The sequence below is a fragment of the Homo sapiens genome, chromosome 4, assembly GCF_000001405.40.
Source record: "Homo sapiens chromosome 4, GRCh38.p14 Primary Assembly".
Classification (NCBI taxonomy): domain Eukaryota; kingdom Metazoa; phylum Chordata; class Mammalia; order Primates; family Hominidae; genus Homo; species Homo sapiens.
The window spans coordinates 95,185,311-95,212,512 of record NC_000004.12 but is presented as its reverse complement, the minus strand read 5'-3'; the positions used below and the strand labels follow the sequence as shown (position 1 = coordinate 95,212,512).

Below are 27,202 nucleotides of genomic sequence, written 5' to 3'. Positions count from 1 at the left end.
ATGAAGAGTTTGCATCTAGCACAGTACTTAACATATTACTGTGTTAGGAGTAGTGGCTCCTCAATGAATATTTCCTAATGAAAGTACGAAGGTTTGTAAGGGTAGACAGACAAACCGCGGTATAAATAGGATCTCAAAAATCAAAGGTAAAAAGGGCTCCAAGATGGAGCCTCAACACGAGGTGTCATTAAAGTAAAAATGTAAAGAAAGAGGAAGAACAACAAAAAGATTATTAGATTTGTCAACTGTGGGGCATTAGTGGTGTTCAGAACTTTTTTTTTTAATTGGTGGAATCCCCTTAGCAATGGTTTAAGATGTGAGATAGTAGTGTGGCAACTGACACTATCATATACATCTATTAAATATAAATAATAAAGCAATGTGTGAGGATAAAGGTCCAAAATTCCCTATGTAGGTAATTGTATAGAGATAGATTTGCTTATCATGTTATTTTTTGGAATTTTGTAAAATAGTAGTTGACATTATTCTGTCTCAAGGAAACACAGTGATCTTTCTCCTTTTAGTAGAGTCCTTTCTCATTCATGAGCCTCAAGTTCCTCAGTTTGAAGGAAGAGCCATAAAAAGGCTAACAGTGGGAGTTAGTGAGTCCAGGTATATTGAAATCTTATCCTCATACTGTTCTTGACAATGTTCATTTATTGAAATCCTACTTAGAGAGAAATGCTTCAAGATAGTTTACGAAAACACTTCTCAATAAGAGAAATAAATTTAAATAAGTGGATAAAAAAGGTAAGAAAATGGGGAAAATAAAGTTATAAAAGATAAGATAAAGTAGGCGAGCGGTTAGAATATAAAATAGTTGGTGTAATTCCCAGCACATTTGCTAGTACCAGGTCGTGAATTTACTATTTCTAAGCCTTTCAAGAAGGGAATGTGTTAAGTTACAAGATCCGCATGTCCATGAGGAAAAAAATATGCTCAGAAGAAACCCAATTATTTTTCCTTTGGTTCCTCATAAAGAAGACATTTTGCTAATGCAGTGAACAGCATCCTTAAAGAAAAACAGCAATGAGTTTCAAGGGCTGCTTCTATCAGTGTCCCTCAATGGAGGTAGATAAGCATAATGCTTATCAGTTCTGGCTTAATCCAGGGATAGATTTTGGCCTGTCTAGGGAAATGGTGGCACGCCCTTCGGAGTGGCTTTCATAAATATTATTTTTGCACAATTGAGCTTTTGATAGCAAGTGAGTTAGATATTCCCTGTCAGGTACCTAGAGTGCAAATATTTCAAGTTGCCAGTTATGTGTGAAGGCCTGTGCTTTAAAAGGCAGCTGAGCCTAGGGTGGGATTATCATCCTGAGGGACCAGATAAAAGACATGTCCACTACTAGAAGGCATCTCCTGTTCCCACAGAGGTGGATGGAGACAGATTCTTTCCTTGAGCCTGCTCTAGGAAACAGACAAGAATAGTTTCGCAAGGACTTAAACCCACTCTAAGCAACCCAAAATACAGCATCGTGTGAAAGAAATTAAATGATTTGTGTTTGAAACCTACCTAGCTTTGCATCCTTAGGCAAGTGTGTTAATATCTGTAGATTTCAGTTTCCTCTTCTGGAAAAGAGGTAATAGACATACACTGCCATACAGGTGTACCATGAGCAGCAAATGCAATGGCTTATGTGAAAGTTTTGTAAATTATGCACTCTTGATTAGAAGTTCTCCTCACTGATAATGACAAGCAAAGGATGAGAAAATATTTCTGACAGGAAACTGAAATTTCTCTCTGTGGGCTTTGTCCTAGAGGACTCAGCACCCATCCAGCATTTACTGGAATATTATCCTTGTTGGACTTTGGAAAACATTTAAAATTTTAATCATTGTTCTTTGCTGAAATTTCTACTTAATTGATGCTTCTGAAGCTAATTTTTGCTCTATGTTCATTTCCATATCATCTGCAATTAATATTTACAGACTGCTTGAATTGCTTAGAAAACACATGAGACATAGAGAAGTCCTTCTCTGCAAAAACAAGAATCTGAGATATTTTTATTTTCTGCTATTTTCTTCTATGTGATTTAATAGCTTCCTTTGTATAAAGGAAATGTGTTACACACTCTGACCTTAGTTTTCACATAGTTAAATCTTATCCTGCGTAACTCCTTACATATATGCTCAGATATTTGCAATTTCAATGCTATTTATGTCATCTTGAAAGCCTATAAGAGAATCTTATCATTATTTCTTCTTTGTTTTTCATTCCCTGTTAAGAATTCCACTTCACCACTTCCCTATTCATTACATTCTTGCACCTCACTGGGTTAATAAATTCTTTTGACACCTACTGCCCCTCCTTCCTCCCTCCTTCCCTTGCTATCCCTCCTCCAAGAATGGTGCCCATCAATATTGCATGCCAGGGGTGTACTTGGAGAGTACAGGTCTGACAGCTCCCCAGCCCAGCAGGGAGCCTTCTCCCTTCTGTTCCAAGTCAGTGATGAGAAGGACCCCTCCTCCTTCCTGCCTCAAGCACCGGCTGCTAACACCAGACTGAGAGATAGATGTCTCCAATCCCCAACTATATTGCAAAGACCACTTGAAATACATTCCACTCTAGTCTCCTTCCTTAAAAGTTTAATGTTCACTTCTCAAGGTACACTTGTAACTAGAAGGTAAGAGTTCTGCTCAGAAAAATGCAATCATTGGTTTTTTCCCCCTCCAGGAGAGGAAAAAATAGAATTAAGCAATAATAAAGTCACTCCTTAAGGCAGATAGTATAGTATTAACTATGACACGGTGAAAGCAGAACTTGACTTGTGTTCTAAGAGAATGAATTTCAGACTGGAAGAAGGACAAATTGGGTTAAGAGAAAATGAAAACCAAGGTGGTAATGGGGATAGTAATGAGGTCTCAAGTTGCTCCCAATAACCTTATAGTTCCAAATTTAAGTACATTCCCAAGTACCTAAATAACTTTAGCTATAATGGAGGAAAGGGTATTGTTATTTAAAGAGAACGGAAATGCTATTAAAAGACTAAAAGTAGGTAAAATTTGTGTTGGTTTTCTAAATAGGAAGAAAGAAAAGCCATAGGTTGGTGAGATCCTGGTGCAATTTCAGAATAAGTGAGGAAGCACTGATAGCCAAGAGTTATTAAGGGGAACATATACCAAATTTTAATTGTGTTCTTAGAATTAATAGTCAACTGTGGAAGCTCTAAGATACAAACTTACTTGTGAGCTACCAAGTTAGCTGCTACAGTTTTATGCGTGCTGATAAAACACACAAGTCTTGTGGATCAAAGACAACAGACAGCTTATTACCCACAGCGATAGCATTATACAGAGTACCATCATGTTTGTGCCAATTTTGTGAGCCCCATTTTAGAAATGGTGATGCAAAAATGTTCAGATGAAGTCTACACACTCAATGGTTGCATTCCAGAAAAGGATCTATGAGCTTAGGGAACCTGAGTCTTTTATAATGAGGAGTAGACAGGCCTGCCATTTGCTCCAGAAGTAGACATTGTCTTTATCTTTCAAGGTAATTGCTATACAAACATCCATGCATAAACATGAGAAATCCATGGATAATTGTCTTCCAACAATATTAACAATAATAACAACTGCTACCATTCATTGAGTGTTCAACGAGGGTACCCATAGATAAAAGCTAACTTCTGGAATATGTAATAAATAATACGTAAACCATAGACAAAAACTAGAGAAAAATCCATTTCAAGTGACCATTGCAATTATAAAGGAATTTGATGTGTCCCTTGTCATATATATGTGAATTCCATCAAAAGATGTGAACCAAACAATGTCCATTTTAATGGGTTTATATTTGGTGGAACTAAATAGCTCAAAGTATTGATATCAGACTGGAAAGAGGTTCCAAATGGTGTCCTTGAAAAGGTCTCTGCCCTTGCCCTGTTCTTGTGTTGCAAAGTTATCAATGGTTAGAATGAGAACATAAATGGCAAGCATATCAGATTTAGGGAGGAGAAAAGACCGGAAGAGATAGCCAATGTTTGGAGGGAAGATAGAGCATGAAGAAATAGATGACCCAAAATTTACCTTGAAACTATTAAGTTCAAATGAAAAGCTAAATGTAAATTTCTGTACATAGGTTTAAAAGCCATCATTACAATCATGGAACCAGACTTAGCCTAAGAGCCTTTCATGTTGGGAATACTTAGAGTGGTTAGTTTAACAAATTTCTTAACTTCCTTGGAGCTTCACTGCTTCATTTTATAAAGGAAATGCTTAACCATACTATCTCTATCTTCCCATGTAACTGGAGCCTGCTAAATAATATTTGTAAGTAATTCCTTGATTGGGAATAATCAACAGCAACAATTTTGTGAGGCATGAATACAAACACAGATGGCAAATCAAAGAAAATACTCTCTCATACTATTTGAGTGTTGAGTTCAAGGTGCCACCACTTTAACGAGGACCTGGAAAACAATGACAAGCATCCATATGAAAATGAAGATAGAAACCCGAGGAGAGATCTGGAAACCATGCTATTCCAGCTGAGGGTGGAAACATTGAGGTTGTTTGGTCTGTAATAAAGAAGACTGTAGAGACATCATAATGATCTCCAAATATATGAAACAGTGTAGCATCAAAAGCAAATCAAGGATACATACAGAGAAATTTCAGGAAGTCAGGTTGTGCTCATTCTAAGTAAGAATATTTTGTAAATTTGAGTTTATAGTAAACGAGGTGACCTTTTAGCAGTAATGGAACAATTCTGGATGTGTCTATAGCACTAACTATACGTCAGCCATGTTTTAGAGGGGTTCTGGCTGGATGGAAGGTGCTGCCGAATGACTTCCAAGGGCCCTTCTAAAATTCTGTGAGTCCATGATTTCAAAAGCTATGCTCTTCTGATTGAGTGAGTAGTTTGACTGTTGTCGTTGAGAGGGCATTTATTTTCATCTCAGCACTAACTAGCACTTAGTTGTGAGACTTGGGGCAATCCACTCAATACCTTTGGAACTATATCTTCACAAATTTACTGATAGGCTAGGTTAATTTATCCATTTGCTTGTTGATTACAGTCCTGTTAGGGAAAAGATTAAAGGCAATTTTTATATATAAGAATAAAGAATCTGCATATTTTAGGTTCTTTCTGCCCAGATTCTCTGAGCATGAACTATACAAGAGATCTCATTTTAAGTTGCTGTATAAATACAGTTCTATATTATTTCTAGTCATATTTGAAAGAATGAATCTGCTGTACTAGCCTAAATTATTCCTGAAAGTCATTTGGACTAAGTTTAGTTCTAGAGTGTCCTCATTCTGAAATGATTTTTTAAAACTATTTTTCAAGTCAGGTCCTGAAACCACAAAAGTATTTAAAACCCTGTGAGACCAGTGGCAAGAATTATCAGAAAATCTGCTTATGTAACTTCATAGGGACTCTGTTCATTCTCATTCCATCTTGAAAGTGTCTGTACATAAATTTGGAGGAAGCTACCATAGAAAGACCAGTGTCGGAGGGAAGGGGATCAAAGAGATGCTGGCAAGTTTATTGTTATCATAAAGACTTCCAGTCCTGCAAGATCAAGGTCTTGGTATAGAGAGCATTTAATTCTGTATCACCTATTTCCTCTCCCCAACCCCCCAGAAAAAAAAAAAAAAAAAGAATTCCAGGAGAAAACTACTTGACCTGTTTGCCTTCAGAACCCAAGTGCATAGTTCATGAATACAATGGAAATGTCACTGAAGCCATTCTCTGCTCTCCTCCTAGGCCACCCATGGATGACTCTCAGACACTTTTGACCCCTGTGGTGAGCTGTGGGCCCCCAGGAGCTCTGCTCACCCGCCCAGTCGTCCTCACTATGCATCACTGCGCAGACCCCAATACCGAGGACTGGAAAATACTGCTCAAGAACCAGGCAGCACAGGGACAGTGGGAGGTGAGCTGCTGTCGGGATAAAGATGCTATGCAAGAATAATCCATGCAGATAAGCAGGAGCAATTATGGGAGGCCTTTTATTTATAAAGCAAAACATGAGTGGAATTTTAGCTCACCCTCAAAATGAGAGAGAAACAGGCAGGCAGACTAGTTCCTGAGTGTTATATCTTCTGATTGACAGGCACACAGAAAATGATGGTCACTCATTAGATAACTCATAGGAAAGGTGCACATAAGAGTTGTAGACATGTTCCTTTTGGAATATAGATTATATATATGTCTATGTATATATATTGTGTATATGTGTGTATATATAATATATACATATATATGTATATGGGGTGGCTCATGCCTGTAATCCCAGCACTTTGGGAGGCCAATGCAGGCGGATCATGAGGTCAGGAGTTTGAGACCAGCCTGGCCAACATGGAGAAATCCTGTCTCTACTAAAAATAGAAAAATTAGCCGGGCGCAGTGGCATGTGCCTATAATCCCAGGTACTCGGGAGGCTGAGGCAGGAGAACCGCTTGAACCCGGGAGGCGGAGGTTGCAGTGAGCTGAGATCGCACCACTGCACTCCAGCTTGGGCAACAGAGTAAGATTCCATCTCAAAAAAAAAAAAAAAGTATATGTATATATACGTATATAATTTGCAGGTCAGAAACATTGCAACTGGATCAGAAAATGTTAGGCACTTACTTGCAGACATGTACCTGGGATACAGTTCTTGTGAACTTAACCTTGGAAAACAGAAAGGGTGTGTCTCCAAAGCTCCACTAGAAGGAAGAAAATCTGCAGCATTCTGGCTGTCTGCAGCTGCTGTCATCAGAACTTCTTAAGGACAATGCTTTAAACAAGCCTAGTTCTTTATATTAGAACCCTCCACTTAGCACCTATATTTCAGTAATATGTTTATCCAAAAATACTCAATAATTTTAAAACTATACTATACATTTATACTTGTATAAAATGTAAAACATATAAAATAGGAAGTTATAATATGCAAAGTATATATTATATGCTTTGTGATTACTTATGATAATTTTTTAGGAAAAAATTCTTAGAAAAAATACACATGAAGATTCCAGCTCCTAATATTTTAAGAAAATATAGTATTAGATGTAGACGAGTACCAGAGTATCCCTGGGATTCACTGGGATTTCCTTCCTATGGGCATGTTCTACTCTTGACCATATCAGGGGATCACTGCTTGCCGAAGCGTACATAATAAATAAATAAATACACTTTATGTTGAGTTAGGACCAGATTTAACCAGATCTAACTTTCATTCTGTTTAAGCTTTAAATGATGTATCTGAAAAACATCCCGTCTTAATCCGAAGTGATCCTAAATTATTCGCATGATTCTCTTCCTATTACCCTATCCATTTCTGGGTTTGAGTAGTTACAATAACAACGACATTAACAATAAACTGAGCAGATGAGGGAAGTAGAAGAGGACAGTCCTCATGAAAGCCCCCTTGTACTTGTGAGTGACTGGGACGTGGGCATCGTTACTCTTTGGCCATGTCTTCTAGGAAGCTTTCTGCACCATGTCACCACTAGGGGATACCGGAGGCTTTCCTTTGTCCTGGAGAAAGCAGCTGCTTTCCAGGTGTCCTTTGGGACTGGAATAAACCTGGAGGTTCTGAGCTTCTCTCTTTTCCTTTTTAGGGGCTTCCTCTGGGGGCATAGGTTCAGTAGAAGAAATTATTTCACTGATGCTATTAAAACACAGCTCTTATTATAGCTCAGATCATGTTGCAAGGCCTAATAAATAATAACCTAGGTGGCAACCTTTCACATCTTTGTGTAGCCCTCTGAACTAAATGTATAACTAAGTGTTCATTCACTGTTTCAGCAAATGGTTGTGGGACACACACCCTGAGCCAGGCCCACTGGAATACAGTGGGAAGCAAAGTCGACATGATTCCTGCCCCTGCAGAGAGACTGACTGACTCTTGTCTCTGACAGTGCAGAGACTGACTCATGCTCACGCGTGGATTTCTCCTGCCTGAGATTTTCTTTTAAATTCGAGTTAATTAAAAGTTGGAAGATTTCACATTAAAATCTGAACTTCCAGCCTGTCTTGGAACATGTGAGGCTTTGTCCATACTTGGCCTGCATTCCTGCATAGCAACCGTAGGCCGAAGCCCAGCAGAGGCTGAGCTCTTTAGACAGGCATGCACTCTGGTTCGCCACAGTCTCCATCATTCCTCCTTGTCTGTGGCCCTGCCTACTTCACATGCCTCTGTTACCTGGTTGCCCCAGGATGCATTCGGAATCCCAACCCTTGGTTTTTGCATCCCATACATGGTCTTTCAGCTGATATATTCTGTGGCCTGAACCATATAGATGAATCAAAACTTGGTTGAATTAGTAACTATTTTTTAAAATAAAAATCATCACTTCCATTTATTTTTATTTCTTGCTAAATGTTTTCAGTGTCTGAAAGAGTAGACTGTTTAATGACACATAAAAACCCATCTCTTTAGACTGAAAATTTCACTGACTTGTCTCCTTCAATTTAGCTTCCAGCTTTACTGCCAGCTGCTGCCTTTAGAATTTCCCTGAGCTCCTTCTTGTGAGCTCACACACCATCCCAGCCCACCCTGCCCTCATCCCAGCTCCCTGACACCAAGTACCATGTCCTTGGCCCCTGGTCATCTAGGACTTGGGACAGCTGCCTGCTTGGCCAATCCTCTGCTCAGCCATCAGTCATCAGATGACGACTCAGGAACAACTGCTCACATGATCTAGGTTGAGTGTTTTCCGTTTAAACCTTTTTGCAGCAAAATCCTGCTTTCACATACACACACACACACAATATGAAATCCTAAATATATAAAACATGTTAAAAAGTTGTGGCTGGGCGTGGTGGCTCACACCTGTAATCCCAGCGCTTTGGGAGGCCAAGGCAAGTGGGTCGCTTCAGCTCAGGAGTTTGAGGCCAGCCTGGCAACATAGTGAAACCCCATCTCTATCAAAAAAAATTAGCCAGGTGTGGTTGCACACACCTGTGGTCCCAGCTACTTGGGAGGCTGAGGTTGGGGGATCACTTGGGCCTAGGGGACGGAGGTTGCAGTGGGCTGAGATCTTGCCACTGAACTCCAGCCTGGGCAGTAGAGTGAGACTCCTGTTTCAATTAATAAATTAAATAAATAAATAAATAAAAGAAGTATACTGACCCAACAACAACAAAAAAAGTAACAGAGAAATGTATCTTACGTGTCATGGAATTTGTCAGGTCTTGCTTTTCTTAGAATCTGACGGCCAAGATTACTTAGAAAAAGCAGTGTATTTCTTTAGGAAGAAACTGTCAGGTGAGTTTTGAAAGAACATAGTAGAATTGCATATTAATATATTATTGCCCAGTTCCTTAATTTATCTAATTCTTTTCACACGTACAGATTTTTAGGGAAAATGTAGATTCTTAGAAGATCAAAAAATGCAAACTGAAAGACATCTAAATAAATATTCTCAGTGTAAAGACAATGGTAGAAAGAGACAGAATGATGAACTCAAGTAGACAGATTATAAACTCTGAGAGAGAAAAAAGACCAAGTAAAGGATAGGTCCTGCTCTACTCACCATTCACCACCATCCCTGGTGGCCGGCATGCGTCCTGGGTGACTTAGCCATGGCCCTTCCCTCTTGTCCCCCAGGATGTGGTGGTGGTCGGGGAGGAAAACTTCACCACCCCCTGCTACATTCAGCTGGATGCAGAGGCCTGCCACATCCTCACAGAGAACCTCAGCACCTACGCCCTGGTAGGACATTCCACCACCAAAGCGGCTGCGAAGCGCCTCAAGCTGGCCATCTTTGGGCCCCTGTGCTGCTCCTCGCTGGAGTACAGCATCCGAGTCTACTGTCTGGATGACACCCAGGATGCCCTGAAGGTAAGTGCCTCCCACCTAGCCTGCCCTCTTCACCTCCACCTGGAAGCCAAGGTTTTGCACGGCTGTGCACACTTGGAGATGTGGCTGTGTGTGTGCACCCAAGTGTGTGGACACGTGTTTGGCCCAAAAGGATGCACTTAAAAAAGATAGACATTTCTCTGAGGCCATGCTGATATATGAGCTGTTTACACTGATTCCTCCCAAGGGCTACTTTGTTTACCTTCCTTGATTTCTTTTAATGAAAAATTTAGAAGAATTTGGCAACGAGACCCGTGGATGGTAAATAATCTGCTTCCATGTTTATCTCAGCTGCGTTCTTCCTATAAAAGGAATTGGCATAATTGCTCACACTGTATGTTCCTCTGGTGTGCTGCTTCATTTATATGCTTTCCTATTCTTTTTATGAGGGCTGTGAAGGAGCGGGTTAGCATTTGACAACAGGCTGCTGCTTTGCAGAATAAATGAGCTTAATTCCTGGTGTGATTATTGCCATTCATTTTATCCCATTCGAAGCTTTAAGGGATATAGTAAGTGCCTTTGAAGAACTTATGATATAGAAGGAGGAATAAAAGAAGTATGCCAAGGTTGAGGAGGTAAGTCAGAGGGTGAGAAATGCCACAGTGGCTGACATGCAAAGTGCTATATGGGAGCTCAGGAGACGGAGGCATCATTACTTTGAGGAAATCTGAAAAGGAGCTAATATTTGATGATTGGCCCTAATGGAGGATTGGGTTTTGACCAGCAATAGTAGAGGGAAAAATACAAGATTTCTAGGTGGAGGGAACAGCGTGAATAAACACAGAAGCAAACAATAAATAAAGACCCTCGGCCGGGTGTGGTGGCTCACGCCTGTAATCCTAGCACTTTGGGAGGCTAAGGCGGGTGGATCACGAGGTCAGGAGATCAAGACCATCCTGGCTAACACGGTGAAACCCCGTCTCTACTAAAAATACAAAAAAATTAGCCGGGCATGATGGCAGGCATCTGTAGTCCCAGCTACTCAGGAGGCTGAGGCAGGAGAATGGCGTGAACTGGGGAGGCAGAGGTTGCAGTGAGCCGAAATCGCCTCACTGCATTCCAGCCTAGGCGACAGAGTGAAACTCTGTCTGAAAAAAAAAAAAGAAGACTCTCTGCAGGCATATTATTTCTGGTAAGCCTAGAATAATAGATAGGAATTTTGTCTAGATGGACCTTTACGGCCAGAGAGAGGAGCTGAGATTCAGTTCTTGAGTTAATGGAGATTGGAGAGGTTTAAACAGAAAAAAGACATGATTGAAAATACATATTAGAAATATCAGCCTGACTTCAGTGAAAAGGTGAGTCAAAGTATGCAGGAACGTGTGATGGAGCTGAATGATGACAGGGGAGTGAGATGGAGAGAACAAGCCTAAAAAGTCCTGTTCAAGTGGCCTTTCGAGAATCCCATGACGAGCGCTCAATGGATGGGGCGGAAGGTCAAGTTCCTGCCTCTGAGTCATAGAAGCAAACTCAGGGGTCAGGATGCCTTGGGGTGTAGAGATTGTGCCTGTCTTAGACAGTTTGGGCAGCTCTGACAAAGTACCACGGACTGGGTGGCATAAACAACAAACTTATTTCTCACAGTTCCAACCCAGACTTCCAGTGTGGAGGCTGAAAATCTGAGATCAAGATGCCAGCATGGGTGGGCTCTGATGAGGAACTGCTGACATTTTGCTGTGTCCTCACGTGGTGGAGAGCTGGGGAGAGAGCTCTCTGGGATCTCTCTTACAAGGCTACTAATCCCATTCCTAAGGGCACCACCTTTATGACCTAATCACCTCCCAAAGGCCTCACCTCCTAATACTATCACACTGGGGGTTAGGATTACAACGTATGAATTTGGGGGGGGCACAGATATCACTCCATAACAGTGACTGTGCCTTTTCTTTTGGAATACTGAATTAGAGGTATAAAAGATGCCCAAGGCACGGTTAGAAATACGGATATGGTTCTCTGAACAGAGAGCAGATTTTGAAACAGAGATTCAGAAACCAACTACGTTATGTTGATAATTGTTATCCACAGTGGTCAGGAAGAATATCAAGAGAGAGTAGAGGGAGAAGATAATCATAAAAATAATCAAGATGACTGAGAGCTTCTATATTTTTGGCAAAATTCTAAATATTTTATATTAACTCATTTAATCTTCATTTTATCTATAAGGCACCATTAACTCCACTTTATAGATGTATCATCCAAGGCACAGAAAGTTTAAGTAAGTTGCCCTAGGTCACACAGCTGTTAAGTGGAGAAAGCAGGCTTCATGCCCAGGCAACTGGCTGCAGCCTGGCTGCTCTGCCCCTAAGCAAAGTTGCTTGAAGACCTATACCCTAGAGCCTGGGGACCAGGGAAAGCCCTGGCTTTGCAAGGAAGGAGGAAGGGCAGCCAGCAAAGGAGCTAAAGAAGGATAAGCAGCCAGATTAGGAATAGAAATGGAAGAAAAATGAATCAAGGAAGCCAAGGAAAGAAAGTTTTTCTGAATATCAGGGTATTTCCATCTGGAGCTTCCGTTCAGAGAGTAGTACTTGGTTATGAACACTGAGCGTTCCAGGATAAGTCCACTGGGAAGCAGGCTCCAGGGGAAAAGACTGTAGAGGGCACGAGTGGAAACAGGAAGGTGAGCTAGAAGCCTGTTGCCATCATCTGTTCACCATGGTAGATTTGACCAGCATGGTCTTGGGGAAGGGATGAGACCTCTTGGGTCAGCGCATATAATTTTGATAGTCAAGCCTGTAAGATTTTCTGATGTCGAATAAAAGTTGTGAACACACAGCTCTAATGTAAAGCTTAAGGTTATTTCTTTTATATTCCTTGCAAATGTGATACATCCAAAGCACTGTCAGGATAGGAATCATGCTGGGTTTGAATTAGGGAAAATGGTATCTGTAGGGGAGCCATGGGGTCTGATTAAGGCAAATCTTTTCAACAGTTCCAAGAAAATCGTTGCAAAAGCGTACCATAGAAGACCTACATCATATTTGAAGTGTTTGATTTACATATTTTATATTCACACACATAGTTCTCTCCTCAGCCACCTTGTTTTCCCAATAAACACACACAAATACATGCAAAAATAGAATATTTTATAAAAATAATTCTGATTATTATAATTAGTGAACCCAAGACGCAAATGGTCAATAGTGAGAAAGAGTGATGAACAGGTTTAAGCAGCAAAAACAACTCAAGAGCAGTTTGTATCATGGTCAATGCTTTCTAAATAGACATTTATAAATTCTCAGCATCTGGGGATCTAGCACTTAGCCTGAAACAAACATGAATAATGGATGAGGCTTTCTTGCACCTCATGGCCTTTTAATAATGCAGAAATACCAAAATCCTAGTTATAGGCAAATGGCCTCTCCAACATACCGAAGAGACAATTATTTCAGTCACGCCATCTCTTCCTCACACCCACGCTTGAATTGGAAATTTGGGGCTGATTAGCTCAAAAAGCCCTTTATTACTAAAACTCTGCCTTCTTGGCGCCCTGCTAATGTTCCCAACATACTCTCTCCCATCTCGCTACTTCTCTAACCACTGTTGCCCAGAAATACTTCCTCTTGCAACACACCTCCTGAAGGCCTCCTTCTCCTTCAGGCCTGCCCCCATCCTGACTCACGCTCATGCTCTTCCAAAATCAGGAATTCTCAGCGCACAGAGGAAGCAGGTGGAAGCTTTTATAAAAACCCACTCCAGGGCCTCACTCCCACAGGTTCTGATCTAATTGGTCTAGGTATTGGGGCATTTTATTTTCTTAATACTCCCTGGGTTATTCTATTGTGCCACCAAAGTTAAGAGCTATTATCCTAAACACTTTCCCAAATCTTTTTGGAACTTTAATTCTACTAAGAACAAACTTTCCTACAACCTCACGTCATTCCCTTTCCCATTGCTCCACCTGCTCTCATTAACTGCCAGTGGATCTTCCTGGTAACACCTCACAATGCCTCCAGCGAAGACTGTACCCCTAACAAACCCCAAGGCCAAGAGGAAATGTGCCAGTACTTCTCATACCCCATGACCCTTTCTGGGGCATCTCTTCACTGCCCAGGCTGGATGGTTCTACTTCTACTCATGCCCACTTCAGTTCCTTTGCACAGAGCTCTGTGGATCCTGCCCTACCAGTACTTGCCTTGTGGTCTGTCTTTCCATCCATTTTATTCCCATCATTCCCTCAAATTCAGTGTCATGACTTAAATCACAGTCTCTCTGCCCAAACTTATTCTAGTAGCATTCACATCATCTTACATTATCTATTCACTGGCATAGATGTGCTCTGGATTTCATCTTCATTAGCAATTGCTCCACTGCCAAGATCTCCACCTGTCAGACTCCCCCTTTCTGACTACAACCATCTGACCTTCCATCTCTCTCTCCCACAAGATGCGTGGAAGCTACCCTTTGTTCTTAAGGAGAGGCTCCCTCACTGGGCACGGTGACTCACGCCTGTAATCCCAGCACTTTGGGAGGCCAAGGCGGGTGGATCACCTGAGGTCAGGAGTTCAAGACCAGCCTGGCCAACATGGTGAAACCCCGTCTCTACTGAAAATGTAAAAATTAGCTGGGCGTGGTGGTGTGCCCCTGTAAATCCCAGCTACTGAGGAGGCTGAGGTGGGAGAGTTGCTTGAACCTGGGAGGCGGAGGCTGCAGTGAGCAGAGATCGCACCACGGCACTCCAGCCTGGGTGGCAGAGCGAGACCCCATCTCTTAAAAAAAAAAAAAAAAAAAAAAAGGGAGAGGCTCCCTCAACCTGCTGCAGTTTCCCAGTCCAAAAACCCTCCCCTGGTCTTACCCGTATGGGCAGCAAACTCGCTTCCACACTGAACTCTCTCGTCATTATGAGCTGCTGCAGCCTTTTCTAATTTATAACCAAGGATACCCTCCACTGAATAAGCCCACTACTTCTACTTCCAGGTTGATGAGTTGCTATGAAAAATCATACATTTCTGATTGGGTCTATTATACTCTCAAGATACCTGTTCTAAGGGATGCCTTCCCTGCTTCTCCGTAATCCTTTTATTTAGCTCTTCTTGACTTACCCGATTCCCACGGCAGTTCTTCCATGTATCTTCTGCTCTCAGGAAGTCCCTGGCTGTTTTAAAGCCCGCATCTTGCCTAGCAGTGACCTAACCACTCAATGAAAGCTCCCCCAGCTGCGGTCCTCTACCCTCCAAACCTTTTACTTCAGCCTCTTCTCACTTCATCTGACTCTGATGAAAAGGATCTCTGCTTCCTTGTTTGTGCTTTAATCCAATTCCTGACCACCTCCATCTTCAGCATAGCAAATGATGCCTGAGGCTGCATTTACCAGCATTTGATATTTTCGTATAGTAACTGCTATGTGCTGGGGATTCTTTACAAATTGCAGAAAAATCCACAGAAATGCTGGACTAGGGCAGAGATAGAAGCCCAGTGGAGTACTTATTCTCAGGGAATGAGTCCAGGAGAGCTATTGCAAAAAGACTGCCCCAATGTCTGGAGCTGTGTATTTCAAGAATGTGAATTATCACTTTTTATTATTATTATATGTGGTTATATTATCCATGTGGATAGATAATACATTTATTTATATAAGTATATATCCTATAGATATATAATTACATATATAATATATAAATATTATATATTACATAAATATAATATAAAAATATATATTATATATTACATAAATATAATATATAAATATATATTATATATTACATAAATATAATATATAAATATATATTATATATTACATAAATATAATATATAAATATATATTATATATTACATAAATATAATATATAAATATATATTATATATTACATAAATATAATATATAAATATATATTATATATTACATAAATATAATATATAAATATATATTATATATTACATAAATATAATATATAAATATATATTATATATTACATAAATATAATATATATATTATATATTACATAAATATAATATATATATTATATATTACATAAATATAATATATATTTGTACATTTATTTATATTATCCATATGGATGGATAACACACTCAGTCTTAAGCAACTGTGATGCATTTTTTCTTCTCCCTACTCACCTCTTTGAGCTTGGCAGCTTTTGTAACAATTTTCCAGGGTTTTGTTAAGCCTTGGGGCAAAAATGGTCACCTGAAACTTAAAAGCTGTGTTTAGCAATTTGAAAGCACTGATACAGAATTAGCATGTTGGCAGTGACTACCAGAGCAAAAGTCAAGGCTGATGGGCAACAGTGGAATTATTTTATACCTTTCAGGAGGGCTTTTTCCTGTGCATGTGCTTGAAGGACCACTGGGAGCAATGCTCTAGTTGTGTTCACATAAAAGGATAAAGATGCTAAGAATTGTGAGAATAGTTTGGAATCAATTCAAATAGAGAGGTCAAGTCTATTGAAAAGGTTGAGTTTGGTATATCAGAGCTTTTCTTTTTCCCCCGTCTTCAGGTGATTAATGAAAAAGGTGTTTTCCTTTCATTATTTGCAATGACTTAAATCCTAGTATAAATAGACCAGAAATTAACCAAGAGCAAGGTTATATTTGGAGTAAGTTTAAAAACACCTAGGAGAAACATACGTCTATGTGGAAATAAGTCATTTCTGTCCCAGTATCCAAAGGGTACAATACCTGACAGTCTCTTTTTGGAATAAAGGGTTTTATACTAAACTCTGAGATTCAGAACCTAAAAAAGGAGTTATTTTCATACATTATGGGCAGTGTATGATATTTATTGAATTTCTGACAAATGTATTTGTGATATAAATCAAATAATGTGTATTAACATAACCTGGCTTTTTTTTTTTTGATGGACTCATTGGGCATGGAGAAGACCTTCCTTGGATAAATTTCATGTGCCCTAATCCCAACTGTAATAGAGTAACTCTGTGAAAGCTTGTATTATGTGAAAAGAGAAGAGAAGAATGAAAGAAACACTGGAAGGTGAAGAGAGAGAAAGGAGGTTGGCGGAAGTCTAGTTGAGAATTGTGTGATGCTCACGTTCTTGGGCCACAGTCATGGACAGTCAGACGTGGCTTGTTACAGGGAGAAGGTAGTTATATTTTTATCCTGCTACCTGTCACATTCCTCACTGATGTCCTCCTGGCATTTCCTCGGCAAGCTGTGACCTTACCGAACTCTGAACTCCTCACGCTTGCTTCTTCTAGGTCTTCTAAGGCTGATCTTCCCTGGAATTATCCTAGTATCCATACCTACTCTTATAGTTCCCACAAACAACCTCAAAAATAGCCTTACCTGTATACTTTCAGGATCCTGGCCTCTGGAGTTAAACTAATATATTCACATGTGCAACATGTGAATTAGAGACCAACAACAAAACGTGTGTTAAAGGTTCCTAGTGCATCATTGCTGCTGTGTGTATGGGAGGGAGCGTGGTACAGCAGCAAAGCTCGAGTCAGGCTGGCTGCCGTGACTGGCTGTGCCACTTATCAGCCTGGTGGCCCTGGTCACTGAATTTGACCTCTTAGGACAGTAATTTGGTCTGCATCAAGGACTCTTTGAAGTTCTAAGGACATCAAAGTTATTAAATCTCCTGGCACAAAATAGACACCAGACACTGTTTGCCATGCGTATGTGGGCATTTAGACTTCAGTGGCATTTTGAAGATAATGGCTTAAGGAAGATATTAAATCTAACTGGAATCTAACTGTGGGGTGAGTTTCAGGTTTGGTAGCGGTCTGGTTGATTAGACATTTAGTCACAGGGATATTTTTGGTGCCTCTAAATTTACCCCATTTTTATCATCTTCTGATGAAATCTGGCCCTGGGTCTATCACCTATCTTAGAAATGACTTGCCATGTTGAACTTACTTTTTGAAAGAGAGAGAAAACAGAAAGAAAACAGAAGTTGTGGTATGCAGAATAACACCCCTGCCCCCACCCAAGGATGTTTACAGGTTAATATTCAAAACCTGTGAGTATTTTACCCTACATGGCAAAACAGTCTTTGCAGATATGATTGTGTGATTTCAGGAGATTATCCGGGACCATCTGGGTGAGTCCAGTCTAATTACATGGTTTTGAAGGTGGAGAACTTTTTCCAGCTATGGTCAGAAAGGGATATGACTGCAGAAAAAGGCTCAGAGAAATCTGTCATTGTTGGATTTGAAGACAGCGGAAGGGGACCGTGAGCCAAAGAATGTGAGAAACCTCTGGAAGGTGGAGAAGACCCAGTACAGATTCTCCTCTCGGGGCTCTGGAGAGGAGGGCAGCCCCACTGACACACCTTGATTTTAACTCAACGAGAACTGTGTTACTCCCACCCTCCAGAACTGTGAGATAATCAGTTTGTGTTATTTTTTAAGTCACTATGTTAGTGGTGATTTCTTATGGCAACAGTAGAAAACTAATATAGAAGTTTAAAAATAATGTGTTAACAGGAGAAAAGAAACACAAGATGACTTCAAAAGTCCTAGAAAAACCTACAAAGTCCTGTTCCTAATACATAGATGTGAGAGAGAACTGTTGTCCTAAGAGCACGCCCAGAGGTAGACAAGTGACACGCTGCTTGCCTGAGCACCACCCGTTGGCATTTGGCTTTAAAAGTGTCACAAACTGCCCTGACTGTGCAGGCTGGAAGTGGCAGCTCAGACCAAGCATCCGTGGCCACAGCAGCTGTGGGAACAGCAGGCAGAGCCCTAGAAACGAAGCAACTTGACGGGGAGATGTTTGCAGATGGGCACCAGAGTCCAGCCTTGTTATTATTAGGGAAGAAGTAAGGCAGACAAACTCAGGGGGAGAGCAGAGCACCCTGGCGTGAACACAGGAAGGGAAAGGAGCAAAGCCAGGCCGGGCGCCAGGGATGGCGACCCGAGCAGGTGGGAGAGGCCGGGCTGACAGTCAGATGTTCTCCACTGCCTGGCTCAGCAGTCTGAGGCCTGCAAGCCGGAGAGGAGGGGACAGAGCATGGGGGGCTGACAGCAGCGTCGCCGAAAAGCTGGCAGAGAACAGGAGAGAAGGGCGGCCGCTCTTTTTGGCCTCTGCTTCGGTGGAGTGCAGGCCCCCACAGCTGTGACAGAGACAGCAGTGACAGCCACCATCGCAAAGGCACAGATTTCTCAGCCCCAAATGACAAGGGCAGGTTTTCGACACATGATAATGAACAGAAGAAAGGCAGGTTCCATGAAATCTGATGGCAGATGTGATTTTTTTTAAACACCAGCCAGCACAGTCATTGAGGGCTGGCCTTTTGAAGTTTCATATGAGTGGCATGCTGCACATTTGCTGGTCTGTTCTTTGTGTCTGTGTCCCAGAATCAAGGTGAAGGTGGGGCACCGCTGCAGTACAACTCAGCCTCCTGTGCCGGCTCCAGCACGGAGAGCGGTTCTATCTCCAGGAGCCAGAAAGCCGAACCAAAGCAAAAAACAGCCAGAGTGCCAGGCTGGCCACTGCTTCGCTTCCTGCCTTCTGTGCTGTCCTCTCCATGTAGCGATCTCAGCGACTTTCCCTCAGTAGCTACCTCCACCTGCTCATGCTTCTGCTGCTGATGCCTGGCCTCGTGGCAGCAGTAAATCCAGCCAATGCATGGTTCTGTGTTTCTCTCAAACATGAAGACTGCCTGGAGAAATAACATCCAGAAACAATATAAAGAAAGAAGCTAGCAGAGTGAAACACATCCTGGATTTCATCGCCTTCCAGCCTTCCCTTCAAGAGAGATTTCAGTGGGTTATATGAGACTTAACTTTAATCATTTCTTTCATCCTTTCTTTAGCCTGTATGGTTTCTAAAAAGGGAAAGAAAAGAAAGACAGAAAAGTAGTTGGAGAGAGAACAAGAGAGAGGCAGAGAGGGAGAGAAAGAAGCTATGGATCATATAATCCACAAATAGCATAACTGCCCCTTGAAAAACTGGAAGGCATAACACATGCCTTGAGGAAGAAGGTGGTGCAATTTTGGGGCACTGGAGTGAGAGAGGGGCAAGTTGTTATGCAGGGCAAGGGTGAGCAGAGGAAGAGGTGAGCAGAGAAGTAGGGTGAGCAGGGGAGGAAGTGAGCAGGGGAGGAGGGTGAACAGAGGAGGTGAGCAGGGGAAGAGGTGAGCAGAAGAGGTGAGCAGGAGAGGAGGGTGAGCAGGGGAGAAGGTGAGCAGGGAAGGAGGTGAGAAGGTGAGGAGGTGAGCAGGGGAAGAGGTAAGCAGAAGAGGCGACCAGGAGAGGAAGATGAGCAGGGGAGGAGGTGAGCAGGGGAGGAGAGGTGAGAAGGGGAAGAGGTGAGAAGGGGAGGAGGTGAACAGGGAAGGAGATGAGAAGGGGAGGAGGTGAACAGGGGAGGAGGTGAGAAGGGGGGAGGAGGTGGGCAGAAGAGGTGAGCAGGAGAGGAGGATGAGCAAGGGAGGAGTGAGCAGGGGAGAAGGTGAGCAGGGGAGGAGGTGAGCAGGGGAGGAGGTGAGAAGGGGAGGAGGTGAGAAGAGGTGGGCAGAAGAGGTGAGCAGGAAAGGAGGGTGAACAGGGGAGGAGGGTGAGCAGAGGAGGGCGAGCAAAAGAGGTGAGTAGAGGAGGATATGAGAAAGGGAGGAGGTGAGCAGGGGAAGAAGGTGAGCAGAAGAGGTGAGCATGGGAGGAGGATGAGCAGGGGAGGAGGGGAGGAAGTGAGCAGGGGAGGAAGGTGAGCAAAGGAGGAGGTGAGCAGGGGAAGAGGGTGAGCAGAGGAAGTGAGCAGAGGAGGAAGGTGAACAGAAGAGGTGAGCAGGAGAGGAGGATTAGCAGGGGGGAGGGGAGGAGGTGAGCAGGGGAGGAAGGTGAGCAGAAGAGGTGAGCAGGGGAGGAGGTGGGCAGGGGGAAGGGTGAACAGAGGAGGGGAGAAAGGGAGGAGGGTGAGTGGGGAGGAGGTGAGCATGGGAGGAGGCTGAGCAGAGGAGAAAGGTGAGCAGAAGAGGTGAGCAGGGGAGAAGGTGAGAAGGGAGGAAGGTGGGCAGAAGAGGTGAGCAGGGGAGGAGGGTAAGCAGAGGAGGATGTGAGAAAGGGAGGAGGTGAGCAGGGAAGGAGGGTAAGCAGGGGAGGAGGTGATTGGGGAGGAGAGTGAACAGAGGAGGCGGCGAACAGAGGAGCAGGTGAGCATGGGAGCAGGAGAGGAGTGCGAGCAGGGAAGGAGGGAGAGCAGGGGAGAAAGGTGAATAGAGGAGGAGGGTGAGCACAAAGTGGGGTTGGTGGGGAGGGTGAGCAGAGGGTGTAGGCAACAAAGCCAGGGTCCGGAGCACTAGCCCACCAGATCCGCTGTGGGACCCTAGCACCTCACAATTTTTGGCACAAAATCACCACTGTGCAGGGCTCTGTAACCCAGCTTCAGCCTGGACCCTGGGGGCAGACTTGTCATACTCTAATAGATATACTTCAAAGCATCCAAGTATATGCCACTCTGTTGCCTGGGGGCTCCCAGTGAGCAATAGCTGTAAGCCTGATACTTAATGGAAATTTGCCCAAGCATGGAAGGAACAGGCAGAGAGACAACAAGAGAAGCAGATGAGGCAGATGAAATCTAACCCGGACATAATGCAGAGTGGGAAACTCGGGGGCTGGACAGACCAGAGTGGAGGAGTGGCTTGGCTCGCAGATGTATCCTCCCTCCTGCCTCTCTGTCAAGCCTTAACGAGGGGAGATCCTCTCATCTAAGAGCCTGGGAGCATTCTGGGTAGAGGCCAGAGGTGCCTCCTTTGTGCACACAAGCCTTTAAAACAGCCTGGATTTATTGTGGCTCTTAAGTGGCCCAGGCTAATGGCTTGGCATGGATAATGTCTTGGTTTAATTGGTTATTGTGAAAGCTGCTTGTTTCTACTGTGGAATCTCTTGTCCTGCCTTTGGAGCAATCCCTCACAGGCTCCCTGAATCAATATAGCCCTCACTCTGGGCCGGCCAGTCTGCTTTGGAGGCAGCGCCCGCAGTGGGGAAAGAGGCCCTCCCACAGGATTGCTCAGATCCCTGGCGGACGCTGGGCTCTGAGGCAGGTGGCCTGCTTCTGGTGACTGATGGTTCGCGTGTGTAGATGTGCATGGGCTACAGACACATTTATTGATGACCTACTCTTGAGGGTGTCTTTGCAAGGAAAAGTTAGAGGGGTGCAGATAGAACTGTACAAGGGGGGCTGGGCGCAGTGGCTCATGCCTGTAATCCCAGCACTTTGGGAAGCTGAAGTGGGAAGTTTACTTGAGTGCAAGAGTTCAAGGAGCAACAAGGCAAGACTTTGTCCCGACAAAAAAAAAATTTTTTTATTCTACTTTAAGTTCTCGGGTACATGTGCACAATGTGCAGGTTTGTTACATATGTATACATGTGCCATGTTGGTGTGCTGCACCCATTAACTCCTCATTTACATTAGGTATATCTCCTAATGCTATCCCTCCCGCCTCCCCCCACCCCACAACAGTCCCCGGTGTGTGATGTTCCCCTTCCTGTGTCCCTGTGTTCTCATTGTTCAATTCCCACCTATGAGTGAGAACATGTGGTGTTTGGTTTTTTGTTCTTGTGATAGTTTACTGAGAATGATGGTTTCCAGCTTCATCCATGTCCCTACAAAGGACATGAACTCATCATTTTTTATGGCTGCATAGTATTTCGTGTGTATATGTGCCACATTTTCTTTATTCAGTCTATCATTGATGGGCATTTGGGTTGGTTCCAAGTCTTTGCTATTGTGAATAGTGCCGCAATAAACATACATGTGCATGTGTCTTTATAGCAGCATGATTTATAGTCCTTTGGGTATATACCCAGTAATGGGATGGCTGGGTCAAATGGTATTTCTAGTTCTAGATCCCTGAGGAATCGCCACACTGACTTCCACAATGGCTGAACTAGTTTACAGTTCCACCAACAGTGTAAAAGTGTTCCTATTTCTCCACATCCTCTCCAGCACCTGTTGTTTCCTGACTTTTTAAAGATCACCATTCTAACTGGTGTGAGATGATATCTCATTGTGGTTTTGATTTGCATTTCTCTGATGGCCAGTGATGGTGAGCATTTTTTCATGTGTCTGTTGACTGCATAAATGTCTTCTTTTGAGAAGTGTCTGTTCATATCCTTCGCCCACTTTTTGATGGGGTTGTTTGTTTCTTTCTCGTAAATTTGTTTGAGTTCATTGTAGATTCTGGATATTAGCCCTTTGTCAGATGAGTAGATTGCAAAAATTTTCTCCCATTCTGTAGGTTGCCTGTTCACTCAGATGGTAGTTTCTTTTGCTGTGCAGAAGCTCTTTAGTTTAATTAGATCCCATTGTCAATTTTGGCTTCTGTTGCCATTGCTTTAAAAGTAGCCAGGTGCAGTGGCATGAGCCTGTAGTCCCAGCTACTTGGGAGGCTGAGGTGGGAGGACTGCCTGAGCACAGAGGTCGAGGCTGCAGTGAGCTATGATCACGCCACTGCACTCCAGCCTGTGCTACAGAGCAAGAAAGAAGGTGTCTAAAAATATTTTGAATAAAAGAACTGTGAAAGGAAGTCAGAAACTGTCTCCCTTCTCACAGAAGCAAAACAAGCTCATCAAAGCAACAGGTGGATTCACCTAGAGCCAAACTAGGCCACTGAGGTGGGGGAACTCCCAGTAGGAAGGACAACTTCTGCAAAGGAACTTGACGTTCAGGTTTCTGAGAACAAAGAGGCCAGATGATCCGCATCCTTACTATAGCATTTCTTTCCAGGGTCACGATATTTCTCTTAAGTCTTCCTAAATCTTCTGACATTAAATATATTTTGTTCATATTCTATTTTAAGGTGTGTGAAATATCCTAACCTTTGTGATTCAAGAGCAGCCTGTCTGGAAGTGGTTTTAGACCTGAGCACACTGTGTTGTGGTTACATGTTTACAGGTCACCCCCCAACCCCCATGAACCATTAGCCCATTAGCAGTTTAAAGCAGTGACAGGGACTTACTTGTCTGTGTGCTCCAGACCTGACATGGTTCCTGGCAGCCTAACGTGTCTCACTGATGTTGAATGAATGTTCCCAGGGAGAGGAAGCAGAGGAAAACATTGAACTGTAAAGCCATGTCTTATTGAGTTGTATATTTGTTATTTTTCTGTCCTCTTACATATCTGTATCATATAAATAACCAAAATGAGATCATGTGCGAAGAATTCAGAAAATCAAGCAGTGTGAAATACAAGTTGCAGCATATTTTTAAGTGGAATCTGCTGGAGTAAATCTCAAATTGTAACACTTAAAATGGTAACACAAGACAAAGCCTGATTAGCCTTTCGGGCAGGCTTGCTTCTTCTATCATCTGACACAAAACTCTATTTGAGATTCGCCGTATGTGACGAGTCAGCTCCTGTTCCTGTGTGGTTTTAGATTATACTCGTTTCCCAGGAGTTGCTGGATGATCGACTGAGATCTCTTTAACTCACACCATGGTTTTTGTCCTCTCCTTTTTTCTGTTATGCTTTCCTATGTCATGAACGTCTTTAGTGCAACGATACCAGTTGCCACTTTGCGGGAAGGGGTGTTAAGTGTGGTAAGGTTACTGAATCCTTCACTGCTGGGCTGAATTCTTCCCCAGGTACTAGTGAAAGGACAAGCTGTCTGAGCCAGCAGTCTCCAATATGGAGTTTACACACCCCAGGCCCAGTGAACCACTGGGACCAAAAAAAATACAGTATTAGTACTTAGCTTTATGCTAAGACAGATTAATACAGGATCTTATGTATTTTTAAATTTTATGTATATTTTATAATGCAATATATTAACATACTGATAATAGAGATATGTAATTTATAAATATGCATGCTCAATGTTTTGACTGGTAGACTATTCTGGCAAACATGTTTATAGCCTCTGCTCTAAGCATGGGTGTGTCCTGATGGGCAGTTTGTCTTTCCCCAGGGTTTATGTCCCATTGGAAGGGAGAAAAAAGTCAGGTTCCTTCCAGCCCTGTGCTGCAGCTTTGTGTCACTCCTGGGTGATGGAGAAATGGCGAGCTTAAGTCTATGGAAGGAGTGTGTTCTGTGGCCCCACTGTCTTTAAAATGGCACTTGGTACTTTCTATCCAAAAAAGGGCTCCTCCAAGCCAGTCTAGGCTTTTTCCCCACTAGGGAGAATTCTTCACCATGACTTTTCAAATCATTGCTGAAGAAACAAAAAACTGAGCCTGATTCTTGGGCTGACTCCCATGAAGACTCTGCACTCAAAATGCCGTGTTAGATTTCCTGACTTCAAGGTCATGGCCAATAGGCAGTTTGGGTTTTTTTCAATGTCCTGCCTGCCAAGAAAACTGATAATGCTCTTCATATCCTCTGGCAGTCTATGTTGATTGTAGGAATGGGGTGTGGATTATACATTGTTGGGTACAATTACCTCCTGGAATACAATGCATCTTCTTTTAGACATCCCAGGGAGATAATTTCGACATAATGAAGATCTATAGTAATCAGATAATTACTATCGATTGCTCTTTAGACGTCTTGATGAGGTAATTAGGGCATATGGAAAGAAAGAAGCTGGAACTGATTGATTGGCATGACTGTAATCTCAAAGATTTCTAATTATGTTTCTTTTCTTCTAATGGCTTATAAACAAACATCATTTTAGCTTTAGAATTTGTCAGGTGCCAGGTTCACTGGGAACATCAGCTTTCTCTATTATGCTAACTAGACACCAAACATGATCAACATAAGCTCATTATGCCTTCCTGCTGAAGCAGAAGAAACTGCAATTAACCCTCACTTTTCTTCTTCTTCTCCACTTCCACATGGCTCTATTCTTGTCGTGGAGTGGGGTGTCATGGAGTGGGGTGTGCCACGTTCTGTGAGGAGCGTGTGTGACTCAAGGCTGGATGGGTCTGTATGGCCTACGGGAGACCCTCGGAGCCTGCTGAGCTCAGGCACAGCAGACTAGGGGGACAATGACACAACATATGTGTCAAGGTGTCTGGCTGACTGTGGCTGGGGGCTGGCTGACTGCTCGGGCTCCTGTCACAAGCCATAGCTACTCATCAGCCAGCAACATTAAGTAGCAGGTCAATACTCTCAGGCAGCTGGACCACACACTTGTCTACGTCAGTGTGCTATTGCCTCATCTCTTCCATTAGATACTAACTAGAGGACGCCCTGTCTGAAACCACATTCCACATTATCCTAATATTTTTTTACACCTTATAGGACCTTCGAGCAGCTTGCATGGTTCAGAATAGTTGCCTCACCAAAAGATGACAGATATTAAGAACCACTAACGCAGCATCTTGAAATGAGCTGTTTGCATGTAATCAATGATCGTGGTAGCCACCACACTTACTGCTCTACAAGTGCATGGGTTAGAATTCGTTCAACAAATGCAAGGTGGATGCATTTTTCTGAATATGAGGCAATCTGGTTCCCATGCCTGAAATCCTCCACTGCGACCCACCTGTGCTTGGTACCCTGGTGGGTACCCAATCCATGCATGTTACAGTCTGAATGAACACCTGTGTTCTTGAATTCCCTGCTTTTTATTGAAATAGCACCAAAGAAAAAATTATATTTTGCTTTTTTTCTAAAATCCATATATTCCTGGACCCTTATTTTAAAATGGGTCACAAATTTCCTGTGTATTTGTACCATTAAAACTTTTAAGGCATGAGAGGAGTAACGTGCATAGGGATGGTTCAGACAGCAGAGGAGACCCAAGATAGTTTGTTCATTGATAACTAATGGTTTGCTGCTGTTTGGATAATTACAGCTGCAGTTGGAAATGCTTCATTAACTCCCATTAACTAGCCTGAGAAATGGAAGTATATATAGAATCTGTCTTTATGTTGTATCTGTATAGTATAAGAAAATTATGTAGCAAATTTTTTCATCAGCCACAATTCTCGAGAAACAAAAATATTCTTTTGAAAATGTAATTGGAGTAACTGTTTAGTTCAATATTTGGTGTTTAAAAACCTTCCTAATCTGTATCGGAATATTTTCCTTTAATAGAATATATAATTAGCATATTCTAATTTTTTTAATAATTGGGAATTATGCATAAATCATTTTAAGCAAACTTTTTATATTTTTATTTCTGTACTTGAAGTAACTATAAGAGATTGAACTAAATGTCTAAAACAGGTTCTAATTTTTTATTTGTTGTTTGGTTTTATCAAGTCCAAGGAATGAGTATCTCTTCTAGTTATTTGTCCCTTTTTGTAAAAGTTAATTGAAAATCTACTTTCTTATCAATCAGTTTGTCTACATTTCTACCTATTTTTTCTTTAATTTATGGCTCTCTGGTTTTGAGTTCTGATGTTATTCCCCCATATTTGATAAATACTCCACTCATCAGTCGGTAAAGGGCAAACTGTATGAAATTGCTCCTCAACAGTGTGATGTAGACTGCCAAAACATAGTTTGTTATTAGGGTCTGGTCCCATACAAAATGGGAGGGGCTTTAGTTAGTTTAGTTAGAGGGTCTCGAGGCTGCAAAAGTGGGTGTTCAAGGTGT

At 42.3% G+C, this 27,202-nt stretch overlaps 1 protein-coding gene across 4 annotated transcripts in view; it reads left to right on the top strand.

Moving 5' to 3' along the window:
* Positions 1 to 27,202, top strand: part of UNC5C (unc-5 netrin receptor C) — a 386,470-nt gene that overhangs the window by 336,461 nt on the left and 22,807 nt on the right. For all 4 annotated transcript variants that reach the window (NM_003728.4, XM_005263321.4, XM_047416346.1 and 1 more), the window contains 2 exons: positions 5,717 to 5,885; positions 9,549 to 9,782. In NM_003728.4, coding sequence (NP_003719.3) covers positions 5,717 to 5,885; positions 9,549 to 9,782 — 403 coding nt within the window. The remainder of the gene's footprint in view (positions 1 to 5,716; positions 5,886 to 9,548; positions 9,783 to 27,202) is intronic.